This window comes from Homo sapiens, chromosome 12, assembly GCF_000001405.40.
Source record: "Homo sapiens chromosome 12, GRCh38.p14 Primary Assembly".
NCBI classification, from domain to species: domain Eukaryota; kingdom Metazoa; phylum Chordata; class Mammalia; order Primates; family Hominidae; genus Homo; species Homo sapiens.
Genome location: NC_000012.12, coordinates 42,211,925 through 42,227,918, shown reverse-complemented (window position 1 = coordinate 42,227,918; position 15,994 = coordinate 42,211,925). Strand labels below are relative to the sequence as shown.

General features: G+C 39.5%; 1 protein-coding gene across 18 annotated transcripts in view, besides 1 other annotated feature; it reads left to right on the top strand.

Moving 5' to 3' along the window:
- The window catches only part of YAF2 (YY1 associated factor 2), an 81,145-nt gene that overhangs the window by 10,330 nt on the left and 54,821 nt on the right, over window positions 1–15,994 (top strand). For 5 of the 18 annotated variants that reach the window (NR_135140.2, XR_944467.4, XR_002957279.2 and 2 more), the window contains exon 3: window positions 15,435–15,475. The exons of 12 other annotated variants lie outside the window; for them this stretch is intronic. Coding sequence is in view for 2 of the 6 variants with exons in the window: in XM_011537728.4 (XP_011536030.1) it covers window positions 15,435–15,475 (41 nt within the window). In the remaining 4 variants the exon portion in view is untranslated. Of the gene's footprint in view, window positions 1–15,434; window positions 15,498–15,994 lie in introns of all 18 variants that reach the window. One more of the 18 variants, XR_001748537.2, reaches the window with a different exon arrangement.
- Window positions 10,915–11,115: a silencer, noted in NCBI's record as "peak1686 fragment used in MPRA reporter construct". NCBI's record gives its function as "represses an SCP1 promoter by STARR-seq MPRAs in K562 erythroleukemia cells {active_cell/tissue: K562}" and the evidence as "EXISTENCE:reporter gene assay evidence [ECO:0000049][PMID:32103011]".

The window sequence follows — 15,994 nt, the reverse complement described above, 5'->3', positions numbered from 1 at the left end:
GTAGGGGCGGCCGGGCAGAGGCGCCCCTCACCTCCCGGACGGGGCGGCTGGCGGGGCGGGGGGCTGACCCCCCCACCTCCCTCCCGGACGGCACGGCTGGCCAGGCGGGGGGCTGACCCCCCCACCTCCCTCCCGGACAGCACGCTGGCCAGGCGGGGGGCTGACCCCCCCACCTCCCTCCCGGACGGGGTGGCTGCCGGGCGGAGACGCTCCTCACTTCCCAGATGGGGTGGCTGCCGGGCGGAGAGGCTCCTCACTTCTCAGACGGGGCAGCTGCTGGGCGGAGGGGCTCCTAACTTCTCAGACGGGGTGGTTGCCAGGCAGAGGGTCTCCTCACTTCTCAGACAGGGCGGCCGGGCAGAGACGCTCCTCACCTCCCAGACGGGGTCTCGGCAGGGCAGAGGCGCTCCTCACATCCCAGATGGGGCGGCGGGGCAGAGGCGCTCCCCACATCTCAGACGATGGGCGGCCGGGCAGAGACGCTCCTCACTTCCTAGATGTGATGGCGGCTGGGAAGAGGCGCTCCTCACTTCCTAGATGGGATGGCGGCCGGGCGGAGACGCTCCTCACTTTCCAGACTGGGCAGCCAGGCAGAGGGGCTCCTCACGTCGCAGACGATGGGCGGCCAGGCAGAGACACTCCTCACTTCCCAGACGGGGTGGCGGCCGGGCAGAGGCTGCAATCTCGGCACTTTGGGAGGCCAAGGCAGGCGGCTGCTCCTTGCCCTCGGGCCCCGTGGGGCCCGTCCGCTCCTCCAGCCGCTGCCTCCCGGGCGGCGCTCGCCGGCGCGGCGGCAAAGACTGAGACAGCTCCGCTGCCCGCTGAACTCCATCCTCCCGGCGGTCGGGCGGCGGCGGCTGCGGTCGGTCGCGGCAGCGGCTCCGCTTCATATCTGCAGCTGGGGCCCGCGGGCGTCAGCGCCGCGACTGTCCCGGCTCCGCACTGCCCCGGGCCGCAGCGCAGCCGCGCCAACCACCACCCGCGGCCACCATGGCCGGACGGGCTCCCTAAGCCACCGACCCCAGCCCGCGGCGCCTTCGAGCCTTCTGGGGCCTCCGGCGCCGCGACCTCCTCTCAAGATGTCTATTTAAATGTTTTCAATTAATGTTTCTTCAAATTTGACTATTGCTATTTGACACCTGGCGTTGCTTTTCCAATAATTTTGAACACTATGTTTGTAAAAATATTATCAGACTATTTTGTCTCTAAGTTGTAGGTATAAATCGTTTTAGCATTATTTATTTATTTATTTTCTGAGACAGGGTTTCAGTCTGTTGCCCAGGGTGGAGTGCAGTGGTGTGGATATAGCTTACTGCAGCCTCAACCTCCCAGGTTGAAGTGGTCCCCCCACCTTAGCCTCCCAAGTAGCTGGGACTACAGGGGTGTGCCACTATGTCTGGCTAATTTTTAAATTTTTGGTAGAGAGGGGGTGTCTCCCTATGTTGCCCAGTCTGGTCTCGAACTCCTGGGCCAAAGCAATCCTCTCACCTTGGCCTCCAAAATGTTGGGATTACAGGCATGAACCACTGCACCCAGATGTTTTAGCATTATTTCAAGGATGATATTGTACATGAACACCTTAGCATTTTTAAGGAACAGCTTTGGCAAGTTGTATAATATTGTTATGATCTCATTTGTGGCCACTTATTAGGTCTCATTTTTCAGATAGTTGAAATTTATATGATATAATATAGCTAAAAACGAAGTGTTTCTTGACTAAAATAAACCAATGAAGCTGTGAAAGTGTACAGCGTATTAAGAAATATATTGTATATTCCATTGCTACAAGGAGAATAAAATACCTAGGAATACAACTTACAAGGGATGTGAAGGACCTCTTCAAGGAGAACTACAAACCACTGCTCAAGGAAATAAGAGAGGACACAAACAAATGGAAAAACATTCCATGCTCATGGATAGGAAGAATCAATATTGTGAAAATGGCCATACTTCCCAAAGTAATTTATAGATTCAGTGCTGTCCCCATCAAGCTACCATTGACTTTCTTCACAGAATTAGAAAAACTAATTTAAATTTCATGTGGAACCAAAAAAGAGCCTGTATACCCAAAACAGTCCTAAGGAAAAAGAACAAAGCTGGAGGCATCATGCTACCTGACTTCAAACTATACCACAAGTCTACAGTAACCAAAACAGTATGGTACTGGTAGCAAAACAGACATATAGACCGATAGAACAGAACAGAGTCCTCAGAAATAACACCACGTATCTACAACCATCTAATCTTCGACAAACCTGACAAAAACAAACACTGGGGAAAGGATTCCCTATTTAATAAATGGTGTTGGGAAAACTGGCTAGCCATATGCAGAAAACTGAAACTGGATCCCTTCCTTACACTTTACACAAAATTGACTCAAGATGGATTAAAGACTTTAACATAAGACCTAAAACCATAAAATCCCTGGAAGGAAACCTAGGCAAGGTTTTATGTCCTGAAAAACTATTCAGGACATAGGCATGGGCAAAGACTTCATGACTAAAACACCAAAAGCAGTGGCAACAAAAGCCAAAATTGACAAATGAGATCTAATTGAACTAAAGAGCTTCTGCACAGCAAAAGAAACTATCATCAGAGTGAACAGGCAACCTACAGAATTGGAGAATATTTTTGCCATCTGTCCATCTGACAAAGGGCTAATATCCAGAATATACAAAGAACTTAAATTTACAAGAAAAAAAACAACCCCATCAAAAAGTGGGCAAAGGATATGAACAGACACTTCTCAAAAGAAGACATTTATGCAGCCAACAAATGTGAAAAACTCATCACTGGTCATTAGAGAAATGCACATCAAACCACAATGAGATAGTATCTCATGCCATTTAGAATGGCGATCATTAAAAAGTCTGGAAACAACAGATGCTGGAGAGGATGTGGAGAAATAGGAACGCTTTTACACTGTTGGTGGGAGTGTAAATTAGTTCAACCATTGTGGAAGACAGTGTGGTGATTCCTCAGGGATCTAGAACCAGAAATACCATTTGATCCAGCAGTCTCATTACTGGGTATATACCCAAAGGATTATAAATCATTCTACTGTAAAGACACATGCACACGTATGTTTATTGCAGCACTATTCACAAAAGCAAAGACTTGGAACCAACCCAAATGCCCATCAATGATAGACTGGATAAAGAAAATGTGGCACATATACACCATGGAATACTATGCAGCTGTAAAAAGGATGAGTTCATGTCCTTTGCAGGGACATGGATGAAGCTGGAAACCATCATTTACAGCACACTAACACAGGATCAGAAAACCAAACACCACGTATTCTCACTCATAACTGGGAGTTGAACAATAAGAACACATGGACACAGGGAGGGGAACATCACACACGGGGGCCTGTCGCGGGGTGGGGGGCTAGAGGAGGGATAGCATTAGAAGAATTGCCTAATGTAGATGACGGGTTGATGGATGCAGCAAACCACTATGGCACGTGTATACCTATGTAACAAACCTGGAGGTTCTGCACATGTATCCCAGAATTTAAAGTATAATAAAAAAAAGAAATATATTGTATTCTTCACCTAAATTATTTTCTGTTGAATGATTTTTAAAGTTAAGGTAGTTGACATCAAGGGCCTATCAGAAACTAAAATATATTATAAATACATGCTTACTGGGAAACATATGCAATGAATTATGCTAGGACTACAGAATTGTGGATGAAACCCAATTCTAGCCTTTAAGGGTTTGAATTCTAGCACAGAAGATAGGTAATATTTGCTAGTGAGTAAATACAAGGAGTTGAGAATGGATTTTCCAACATAGTTCTAGTTTTTGGAGAAGGCTGTGCTTATATGAAATCAGTTATTGTTGTGGCCATTATTATTTATTTATTTATTTATTTTACTTTAACTTCTGGGATACATGTGCAGAACTTGAAGATTTGTTACATAGATATACATGTGCCACGGTGGTTTGCTCCATCCATCAACCCATCATCTAGGTTTTAAGACCTGCATGCATTAGGTATTTGTCCTAATGCTCTCCTTCCCCTTGCCCCCCACCCCCCGACAGGCCCCAGTGTGTGATGTTCCCCTCCCTGTGTCCATGTGTTCTCATTGTTCAACTCCCACTTATGAGTGAGAACATGCGGTGTTAGGTTTTCTGTTCCCGTGTTAGTTTGCTGAGAATGATGGTTTCCAGCTTCATCCATGTCCCTGCGAAGGACATGAACTCATCCTTTTTTATGGCTGCATGTGGCCATTATTAATAAAGCACTTCTGGTGGGGCGAGGTGGCTCACACCTGTAATCCCAGCACTTTTACAGGCTGAGGCAGGAGGATTGCTTGAGCCTAGGGTTCAAGACTAGCCTGGGCAACATAGCGAGACCCTGTCTGTACAAATAAATAAATAAATATAAATAAAGCACTTTTGGTAAAATGTGCTTTAACATCATGGCCAATTTCCAGTTTGATTGATTACTTTCTCCCCTAAGAAATTTCACCCAAATTATGTTCTTTGAAACAGCTGGCACTTCATTGCTGGGTAAAGCCTTTTCTTTATCTTTTTGTTTGTGTGTATATATATGTGTGTGTGTGTGTGTGTGTGTGTATGTATTTTAAAGAAACTGCTGTTTTTAAGATGATAGTTATATAATTGATGTAAAATTTCAGTAGACTGAAACTTCCTACATAGTATGCTGGCGCTATATGTAACTTTGAAGGAAAGAGGAATAAGCAAAGAAACCTTTCACCCAACTATGATAGTTTTATAAACCTCTTTCAAACAACTCGGGTGTCAATGTGGGCTCTAATATTAATTCTGTGACTGGATTTCTACCTTCTTCACCAGTCTCATAGGGTTGTTTGATGAGCAAATGGAAGTGTATATAGGAAAACATTCTGAGCACAGTAAAGCACTGCACAAGTGACAGATAATGAAAGACACAGCTTTTTACTGAGTTTCCAACACCAGAAACTACCAATGGTAACAAAAAAAAAAAAAAGAATTTGGCAGCAATAAATTATAAGCCACCATTTATTCCTTAACAGTAATGGCCACTACTTACAGAGCACTTACTGTGTGTCAGCCACTGTGATAATGGCTTTATCATTTAATCTTCTCAACAATGAGAATTAAAACCATTTAATCTTCTCAACAATGCTTTTGAAAGAAAAGGAAAAAAAAATCCCTGAATATCATGCTGGCGATCATTGCCAATATAACCAATAAAATAGGTAACTTATGAAACAGACACTAAATAATGTAACCCTAGTACAAAATTATTTTATTTACAAAGTAGATGATTCCTGGGATGATTTTTCAAGTATTGAATATATATAAATTTAACAATCCTGCCGTTTTATGTAAGCACACTTGTATAGTGCTTTACTGTGTTCAGAGTGCTTTCCTATATATCCTTCTATTTGCTCATCAAACCGCCCCTATATGGCTGGTGAGGAAGATGGTCCGCTAGTCAAATAATTAATGTTAGAGCCTAGATTGAAACCTGGGTTGTTGGATTACTGGTTGATCTTTTCACTCATTTGTCTTTAATAAAGAGGTTTATAAAACCATCCTAGTTGAATGAAAGGTTTTTTTGCTTATTTCTCTTTCCTTCAAGGTTAGATATAGGGCCAACATTGGTAGAAAGTTTAACATTCTGTGGAATATCAAGTTTTCATTCAAGGAGTTGGTGAAACCTTAGTGTTTTTTTCTTTAAGGTATGTTTTCCTTAAATCTTTATAGCTTGGAATAATTATTTAACAAATGTTTGTTGATCATTTGTTGAACACCTACAGTGTTTTGTTTATTGGCTTTCATGGTTGTTAAGACGGTACCTTTTGTTATATGAGCTGTGATTTATAATCATGTTTTAAAAGATTCTGTATGTACTTCATTCTACAATATTGTTTATTGTGGGAAATTATAGAATTACTGAGAATTTTAGAGCTAAAAGGAACCTTTGAAGTGTTTCTAGAGTGTTTAGTCACATCCTGAGCCAGACAAGTTTTTATTACTTGAAACCTTAATGATAGACAGATAAGAGCGTCTTCAGAGGGAAGATCTTGAGAGATTGTAAGTAGAGAGGCTTGTATTAAACTTTTGAAATGGGCTGAGACTACTATTGTTTTCAAAACCTTCTTGTTGGGATTTTCAGCTAAGTTTGGAGGATTCTTAATTGTGGAACTTGGGGAACTAACATAATATTTAGCAATCTGCTGGGTGAGGTCTTTTCTATTTGTTGAAACTCATGGCTCTAGCCTCGTATCCTCTTGATAGGTAAGAAAACAGGCTGGAAGTATTGTGACTTGGGTCAGTAGTTGATCAGTGTGAGATTTAGAAATCTGAATTTCCAGTCACTTAAAAAAAATTTTTTTTAAAGAGATAGAGTCTTGCTCTGTCACCCAGGCCGGAGTGCAGTGGTGCGATCATAGCTTACTATAACTTCAAACTCCTGGGCTCAAGCTCAACCTCCCAAGTAGCTAGGACTACAGGCGTGCTCCATCACACCCAGGTAATTTTAAAATTTTTTGTAGAGATGAGGTCTTGCTATGTTGTCCAGCCTGGTCTCAAACTTTGCCTCAAGCACCCCTCCTGCCTCAGCCTCCCAAAGTATTGAGATTACAGGTGTGAGCCACCATGCCTAGCCTCCAGTCCCATTTTATAACCTTGCTGTGGTAGCATTTAATTAAATTTGCTAGCAAGTAACTTCTTAAAGATTTCTTCTTATAATTTTGCCTATACCTAGATCTAGTGGTATACCTCTTGACAGTTTCTAACATTAGACCTACTACTTATAAATAATATGAGAACTTAAGAACTAAATGTTAAAAATCTAGGCTAATAGTATGGTGAATAAAGAATAAAATGGCTGTCTTTTTTCCTATATTTACTAATATTTTTGAAGTACAAATGTTAACAAACTTCATTTTTATGTCTTTTATAACAACTTTTATTTTGCTGTATATCCTCACTTCTTTGATATCATAGTGTTTCTCAGGAGAAATACCAGTAAGTATTATTTCTCTCTTTTATTTGTGATACAAATATTAAGAATCACTGATAGTAATATAATCACTTTGATAATATGTGAATGTGTGAATGACTGGATGTGTGTGTATGGTGTAAAGTTTGTATAGCCCCCTGACAATTTTTAGACATATGAATTAAACAATTTCATCTTTACATGTTTTATAGTCTGATCAGGGTTCCTTTGCACAACATACTTTACTTTTATAGAACATACTAGGGACAGTCAACCCAGAATGGCAGCAAGTAAATGATTTTTATGCCAGGGAGGTAGCTGCTCAACAGGTAAAGCTCTTGGTGCATTTGTGGAGTAGGCAAAGTGATTTTGGTCTTCTTTCCTCTTTGTTCCATCCATTTTTGCTATTTGTCTTTTGTTCCCCCACAGCCCAAAGTCTCTTCACTAATATTTATTTCTAGGCTACCTTCTAAAATGTTATGATTGCTTCATTCTTTACTTCACCAACAGTTCTTCCTTTACTAGAAAATCTTTTATGTTTTATGTAAGTCTGAATAAAGTAATTGTTCTAAATGCTAATGTAAAGAATCTGGGTGTGGGGGATGGAGTTTTATTTTTTCCTTAAGATAATTCTTTTTCTCATGATTATAAAAGTATTATGTATACATTAAAGATTTAAGGAAGTATAAGGAGGAAGATAGTAATGATTATTTTCATATTATCATTCCAGTCAGAAGTTAGCTACTTCTAAAATGTTGTGTTTCCACTCTGTATTTTTGCATAGGTATTAGCATTTAAAATTGAAACTTGAAGTATCTCTCATTGGAAGAATGGGAAAAAAGTAGACTTTTTCCCATTTTAGGGCCTTCTCATAACCATTCTCACCTCATCTTGGTCCTCTAAGTTAGTCTCTGAGAAGTCCTCCAGTCTCTGAGAAGGCTCCAGTTTGTTTTGTCTTATTTAATTGAGCAGTTCTCAGTCTTATTTTACCAGGGAACTTTGTTTTTCAATTATAATATAGATCATGTGGAGATGTGTTGTTATGTAGGATGTTGCTATCAAAGTGTGGTCCACAGACCAGTGGCGTTAGCATCACCTGGGAGCTTGTTAGAAATGTACAATCTCAGGCCTCATTGAGGACTTACTGAATCAGAACCTGCACTTTAACAGGATCTTTAGGTTATTTATATGCACATTAAAGTTTGAGAAACACTGCTGTATTTTTTCTGGATAAGATAATGAGGTGGACGGGGTGTGAGGTATTCATCCCACTTTGAGCTGCCTTTTCCAAAGAGCTTTTCCCTCACATTTTTGTGTGTGCATGTGTGTGTGCAGGCAGGGTTGTATGTATGGGTGTGTGCCTGGGCATGCATATGTGTACAGGAATGTGAGTATGTGGGCATCTCTCTGTGTCTATATCTCTGGTCCCCCTTTCTGTTTAGCAAACACTTCTCTGAATGAGCTTAATGAACTCTCATGTCCAAAAATGCTTTCTCTGTTATACCTCCTATCTCTTATCCCTGCTCCCAGTATCTGTACACAGCTGTACATTCCTTCAACCATACAGCTCATCCAAGGCCATCTTTGGGAAGCCTTCTGTGAAAGAGCAGGCTTCAGGAAATAAGAGGGTAAAGAGGAGAGAGGTTTGCCTGTTAGAATCAAGTAACAAACTTTTTGGGGTAGACGAGACCTGGCTGTCCCTCAGGAGGCCCAGTGGTTTCAAATTGTGTTGAGTGGATTCCTAAGGTTTCATGGAATTGGCTCAGTGGGAGCAAGCAAGTGGGGCTCTGTGGTTGCCCACTTCACTTCATCCAGGTCATTTATGCCATTATATATTTTATTAGGATTTCTCTTAATTTGTATTTTATAAGGGTGTTTTGCAAAACATTTTTGGAAAATCACTGCCCTGTTTTACCACTCAAATTCTGTTCAGCACAGGCTAGGTTAATTGTGACTGGATTACCTACCCTCACATTTCAAAAAGAAGAGCTATTAGTGAGTTTTGTAGGGTGGCAGGAGAGATTTGAAGCTTTCTTTCTTGAAAGCCCTTTCTCTCTCCCTCCTTCCCTATATCTTTCCTTTTTTCCCCCCACTCATCTTCTTAGACACATTTGTTTTTTTTAAGGACCGAGATTAGTAAGGCTCAGAGCTACATAATCGACTGATTAAATTAGTAATGAGCATTATAATTTACAGATGAAACATATGTTAAATTCATAATGCTATCAAAGTATACATTATGATAACATTTAATAAGATTATTTTGGGAGCCAGTCATAATCCCAAAAGATAGGTTCCCGAATGCCATAATCTCAAATGTTGAAATCCTGAAAAATCAACATCCTTAAAGTCTAAAATCCCCCAAATCACAATCCTGAAAGGTCAAAATCCCAAAAATGTATTCTGGAAAAAATAATACATTTTTTAAAAGACACATACATTTTAAAAAGGGGATTTATTTGAGAAACAGATAAAAACAACAATTCATAGGCCACTTTACACAATAAAATAGGCAATAACATTTTTGCAAGCATAGACACTAAGGTATACTAACAACAGTCATGAAGATATAACATTTACGAGCAGACAAACCATATTCATCAGTCAAAAAGGGAAATGTATACTTGCATATCATTGTGGTTGGTAATTGTGTGCACCTAGCTTTATAACTGCAGTAATCTGAAATACCATGAAATACCTAAGCCTTGATGAGATCGATAATCATCTGTGTGTGTGTGTGTGTGTGTGTGTGTGTGTGTGTGTGTGTGTTTCCTAGTAGCCTGATGTAGACTGTCACATAAAAATTTGGACCTTACCAGCAAGTTCTAACGTCTAGAAAGTACTCTGGTAGTGTAATAGGAGTAAGCAGTATATATAGACTTAAGAATTAAGCCAGTAAAAGCAGAATTTTTTACTGTTTGCCATAGTTAAAGAGTACATCTGTTTTCAAGGTTGGGATTGTCTGAGCATGGTCATGGTCTTTTTTAGGCCACTGTGCCATTTTATATATTATGCTGTTTCTTCTGCCCTCTACTTCCCCATCCTCCACAATTTCATGGTCTTTATGATTGCTCAGGCTTCATCTCTGAAGGCTAAGCATTCCTTTGTCTCTAGGTCAGAGTGAATGCCCTCTCAATTACTCTTAAAGAATTCTTTGCTAAAAGTGATGATATATTTACACAGTGTATTGAAGATATTTTATATTTGTTTCCTTCCTGAGGGCTGTACCATTGGTCCCATTATCACATTTCAGTTTAAATCCCCTCCTTGACATTTATATTCATGTGATTTTTTTGGTGGTAATTAAATATAAGTGATAAAATGAATTCAGCACATTTCTTAGTTAATGATAATGATAATTGTAATAATATTTTTAAAATTCTCAATGCCCATCACAGTGTCTTGTGTAGGTACTGATAAAAATGAACTGCAAAAGCCCCTTTATTATATATCTGATTCTGTTGCTGCTTTAAACTGCTTTCCACTTCTTGTTTTTTAAGGAATATTTATATAATTTCATAATTTTGTGAGTTAGATGGAATATGTTAGTGGATGTTAATTGTCTCCCCACCTATATTTATGGGTGTTAGCGCAACTGCTTTGCTAGTTGCAAAGCTGTATTATCAGAGTAAAAGTGTATTTGTAAACTGTATGGGAACTAAAAATTAGGAATAAAACCATTTTCTTATAAAAAAAATTATACCCATTTTACTGGATAGAAGAACTTACATCAATCTAAGCTACCTGCATGTTCAATTATTAGCAGTTTTAAAAATGTTTTCTTTTACCATCAGTATAATGTATGATTGAAACCACAGCCGACAGATTTTATTCTCTCTTGTGTCATGCTTACTTTCTTGCTGAATCTTAGCTAGAGGCAGAGAAACCATTTTGATAGTCTAGGCAAGAGGCAGTAATGTCCTGAACAAGGGGAATGCCAGATGGGAGACAGAAATGAATGTATTATAGATGTGTTTAGGAGAGATCTGTGGAACTTGATGGTTGATTGGATATGGTTGTGGGAGGCAGGAAGTTGGGTCATAGTGAAGGGGAGGTATCAAGGATGAATCTCAGGATTCTGGCTTAAGCAGTTGAGTGAGTGGTGTTAGTTCTCACTGAGATAGCAAATAGGAAGACAGGTTTGGGGGAAGGTAATAGTTTGCCTATAGATTTGTTGAATTTGGGGTGCCTGGGGAAAATTTGAGAGGGAAGATCTCTGAAGCAGTTTGGATATGTTGGGTAAGGCTTAGGAAGGAGAAAAGGGCTGTAAATACATATTTGATAGTCATTTGTACACATGATTTGAGTTGAAGCTGTAGGAGTGGGTAAGACAGATCAGGGAGGGAATAGATTGCCTACCATGAGAAAAGAGACCTAGGAGAGACTTTTGAGGAACATCTTTATTTTTTTACAGTGGTAGAAGAAGAGCATCCCACAAAGAAGAAGAAAGAAATGGAGAAGGAAAAAAAAATTAATAGGGAGTAAGAAACCCAGGAGAGTGTAACAATACAGAAACAGAGGGAAGAGGATATTTTCAAAAAGAGGGGGGTGTGTTTAGCCATCTCCAATGGCTTTTACTTTCATCAGACAGAATCTTAATTTTTCTCTCAAGTTCCATGTAGTATTTGTTTTAATAAGTATGGCATTTAGATTTGTATTTTTAAGTTGTAACAAGATAATACTTTTGCGTAGTGATTGTCCTCAGCTTTTCATGTTACAATAATTCTGGTTTATATTTATAGACTAAATAAAGGAGGTTAATATTGGTAGGTAGGAAGATAAGTAAAATTATGTTAGTAACTAACTTTGTTTCCCAAGGATATAATTATCTAGTAATATCTATCTTTAAGTCTATGCCTCTAACAATGACTTTAGATTATAACTACAAAATGTGATAGAATTAACAACAAAAAATCCCAAAACATTGGGTACTTGTTGGTGTCAAGAATTTAAGTGGTAAGTAAATGTACAGTAGCTTTATTTATTTATTTATTTATTTATTTATTTATTTATTTATTTATTTATTTTTTGAGCTGGAATCTCGCTCTGTCGCCTAGGCTGCTGGAGTGCAGTGGCGCAATCTGGGCTCACTGCAACCTCTGCCTCCTGGTTTCAAGTGATTCTCCTGCCTCAGCCTCCCGAGTAGCTAGGACTACAGGTGCAATCATGCCTGGCTAATGTTTTTTGGTGTTTTTAGTAGAGACAGGGTTTCGCCATGTTGGCCAGGCTGTCTTGAACTCCTGACCTCAAGTGATCTGCCTGCCTCAGCCTCCCAAAGTGCTGGGATTATAGGTGTGAGCCACCATGCCCTGCCACTGTATGGTAGCTTTGAAAACTCCTGGGAGATTGCATGGTTAATTGTGAGGGAATATGTATGGTTTGAAGAAACCCTTATTTTCTGTTTTTAGGAGTAATGAATCATAGCACTCTTTAATGATTGGTTAGCCAAGCAAATCACAGCACATATTTTAAAACTTCATTTGTTCTATAAAGTAACAGCTATCTCTGAAGTACACTGGAGTTTTTTTTCTTTTTTTAATTTCAATTTTGTGTAGATATGAGGTCTCACTGTGTTGCCTAGGCTTGTCTCGAACTCCTGGGCTCTTGCGATCCACCTCAGCCTCCCAAAGTGCTGGAATTACAGGTGTTAGCCATTGCACCCAGCCTACACTGGATTTCATATGATTTACAATGCCTAAAGATTCAGGTTTTAGGAGTGCTGAATAACAAAGTTATTTAGAACATAGGCAGAATAAGAAAGGAGTAGCCAAGACTCTAGAACTAAAAATCAGTGAGTGGCTTATGAATTTCAAAAATATTTTCATTACTCATTAAACATTAAAATGGTATTTTGAGACAGGTGCTGGGCTAGGTAATGGAGTTACAGAGGAGAACAAGACACATTTTTACTCTCATGGAATTCATTTATTTATTTATTTATTTAATTTAAGATGGAGGAGTCTCACTCTGTTGCCCAGGCTGGAGTGCAGTGGTGCCATCTCAGCTCACTGCAACCTCTGCCTCCCAGGTTCAAACGATTCTCCTGCCTTAGCCTCCTGAGTAGCTGGGACCGCAGGCGCCTGCCACCACGCCTGGTTAATTTCCATATTTTTAGTAGAGAAGGGGTTTCGCCGTGTTGGCCCGGCTGGTCTCGAACTCTTGACCTCAAGTGATCCACCCACCTCAGCCTCCCAAAGTGCTGGAATTACAGGAGTGAGCCACTGTGCCTGGCCAGCTCTCATGGAATTTAAGTTGCAAACAAAAAAATACCAAAAAAAAATCATTGCAGAGTGTGGCAACAACAGGAATTATTTGAAATGGGTGAAGAGGAGAGGCTTCTCTGAGTGGGTGGCATTTAATCAGAAAGCAGAAGGATAAGAGGAGGCCGGGCATGGCGGCTCACACCTGTAATCCCAGCACTTTGGGAGGCTGAGGCCATTGGATCACTTTAGCTCAGGAGTTCGAGACCAGCCTGGGCAACGTGGCAAAACCCCATCTCTACAAAAAGTATAAAAATTAGCCGGGCATGGTAGCATGAGCCTGGTTTCCCAGCTACTTGGAAGGCTGAGGTAAGAGAATGGCTTGAGCCCAAGAAGGGGAGGTTGCAGTGAGCTGAGATTGTGCCACTGCACTCCAGCCTGGACAAAAGCCAGACCTTGTCTCAAAGGAAAGGATAAGAGGAGGTATTTGTGAAAGAGTTGTAGTTAACGGCAAGTTGAAAGCCCTTTGGTTAGGAGTTTGTTTTACATTGAGCAAAGACTAGTGCATAGTGAGGCAGAGGGTGAGTGGCATCAGATGAAGGTGAGCAAGTGGGTAAAATGCCAGATCACAATTTAGTCGTAAATGATATGACACTGAGATTTTATTGGAAGTGTAACAAGCCATTTAATGAGTTTAAGTGTGGAAGTGCTCTGTGGCTTCTGTAAGGAGAATGGACTGGCAGGCTGCAGGAATGTGTAAATAGAAAGACTAGTTGGGCTATTCTAGTTAGGTGAAAGATAATGGGGCGTATTAATGCCCTTTATCTAGATGACCCTTTTCTGATATTTATTCCAATTAGAAATGGAGGTCTGTGTAGTACCCCTGTTTGAATTTTGAGATTAGATAAAAGAGAATGAGTTTGTACCTTACTGTTACTAATACCTTGATGTATGTTTCCATAAAAAGGTCATTAATATACACACACTGAAGACTTTTTAAGGTATGGCATTTCAGTACTTACGGTTTATATGTACTTTTAAAATGATAATGAAATTATGTTAAAGCAGAATGATTTGCATGAACATGTTGAAATGTAATAGAGGAATTTCTATTTTAAAAAGTTATTTATTCAATGGAAATAAAAAAGGATGACTTTCCCTAAGGAAGGAAAATGAGACACTTAGAGCCACTCAAGTTGGCTTGAGACAATTGAAATTTGCGATGTTGGAAAAATTTGTCATTGTTTTATAAAATAGTTTTACACAGAAATTATTTACTTTAGAGATGGCTATTAAGAATTGACTTGAAAAGTAAGGTAAGGCTTCAAAATCTGGTCAGATTAATTTAAATAATATAATAGAATTTTGTTCTTTTTCCCACCTTTTCTCTCACAAGCCTGCAGTCAGCTTAGGGCTCAACTGAGGAAGGATCCATTTGCAAGCTCACTCATGTGGTTGTCAGCAGACCTTAGAACACCTGCTTCCAAGTTAACTCACATGTCTATTGTCAGGCCTCAGGCATCTGGCTGTTGGCCAGAGACATCAGTTTATTGCTATGTGGGCTTCTCTTTTCTATAGGCTCAGAACATAACAGCTTGTTTGCCCCAGAGCAAGATATCTGGACAGTGAGAGAAAGGCCCGCCTTGGACTCCCAAAGTGCTGGGATTACAGGCTTGAGCCACCGTGCCTGGCTCTTAATGACATCTTTTATATTAGCTTATACCATTAGGATAAAATATTTGCATTATTGCTCCTTGATCTGTTTTATCACTATAAACATATAAGACCTTTGTGCTATGTACTTACTCCAGTGACTAGGAGTCTAGTAAACTAGCAGAGTTACCTAGATGACCCTTTTCTGATATTTATTCCAATTAGAAATGGAGGTCTGTGTAGTACCCCTGTTTGAATGGGTCATTTAAAAGTGAATGGATTTATTACTGTTATACTTAACTCAAATTTGTAGAAAAATGCATGCATTTACCCAAGGCAATTTGTATCTTAAATTTAAGTAAGAATCTATCACAGATCTTGACAATCTTGACAGGTGTGTTGTCAACCTAACAAATACAAATATGACCTCATAACAGGATTGAAATAAAAGATTTTCATTAGAATTACATTTTGAATTTGATTGTGTAGAATGATTTTACAGACCATTTTATCCCATTTATTTTTTGTTTGTTTTGTTTTCTTTCATTTATTCAGTGGTGAGTTAGTTACTAGACTATTCTTAAAGGAAAAACTATACACTTTCTTTGTTTCCATAGAATGAAGAATCATGAAATCATAAGTTTCTTGAAGGAAGGAGGTGATTATTTAGAAGCATGATGGTAAAGGGTATTAAAATATATCTGTATCTAGTACCTGCTAGTGTAGTTACTAGTGTTAGAAGTCATCACTGCTGTGGCACATTAAAATGAATATGATGAATATATATTGATTAATGTGTATTCAGTTAAAGGTAATGTAATATCTTCATATGAGCTTGAAGATAAATTTCTTTTGGAGAGATTTTTTTCTTTTGATTAGAAATAGTTTTTATTTCAGTGACGGCCATTTTTAGGCAATTATTTTAAAAGTTTAAAATTTGCTGTATTTCTTTTGTACAAGTATTTAAATTATAATTAGCATTATTAATATTTTTCAATGACTGGCATACTTTTGTTTGTGTTTGGTGTGTCAATAGGTGACAAATGGTTAAAGACTTTTTTTTTTTTGAGATGAAATCTTGCTGTGTCTCCCAGGCACGATCTTGGCTCACTGCAACCTCCGCCTTCTGGGTTCAAGCTATTCTCCTGCCTCAGCCTCCTGAGTAGCTGGGATTATA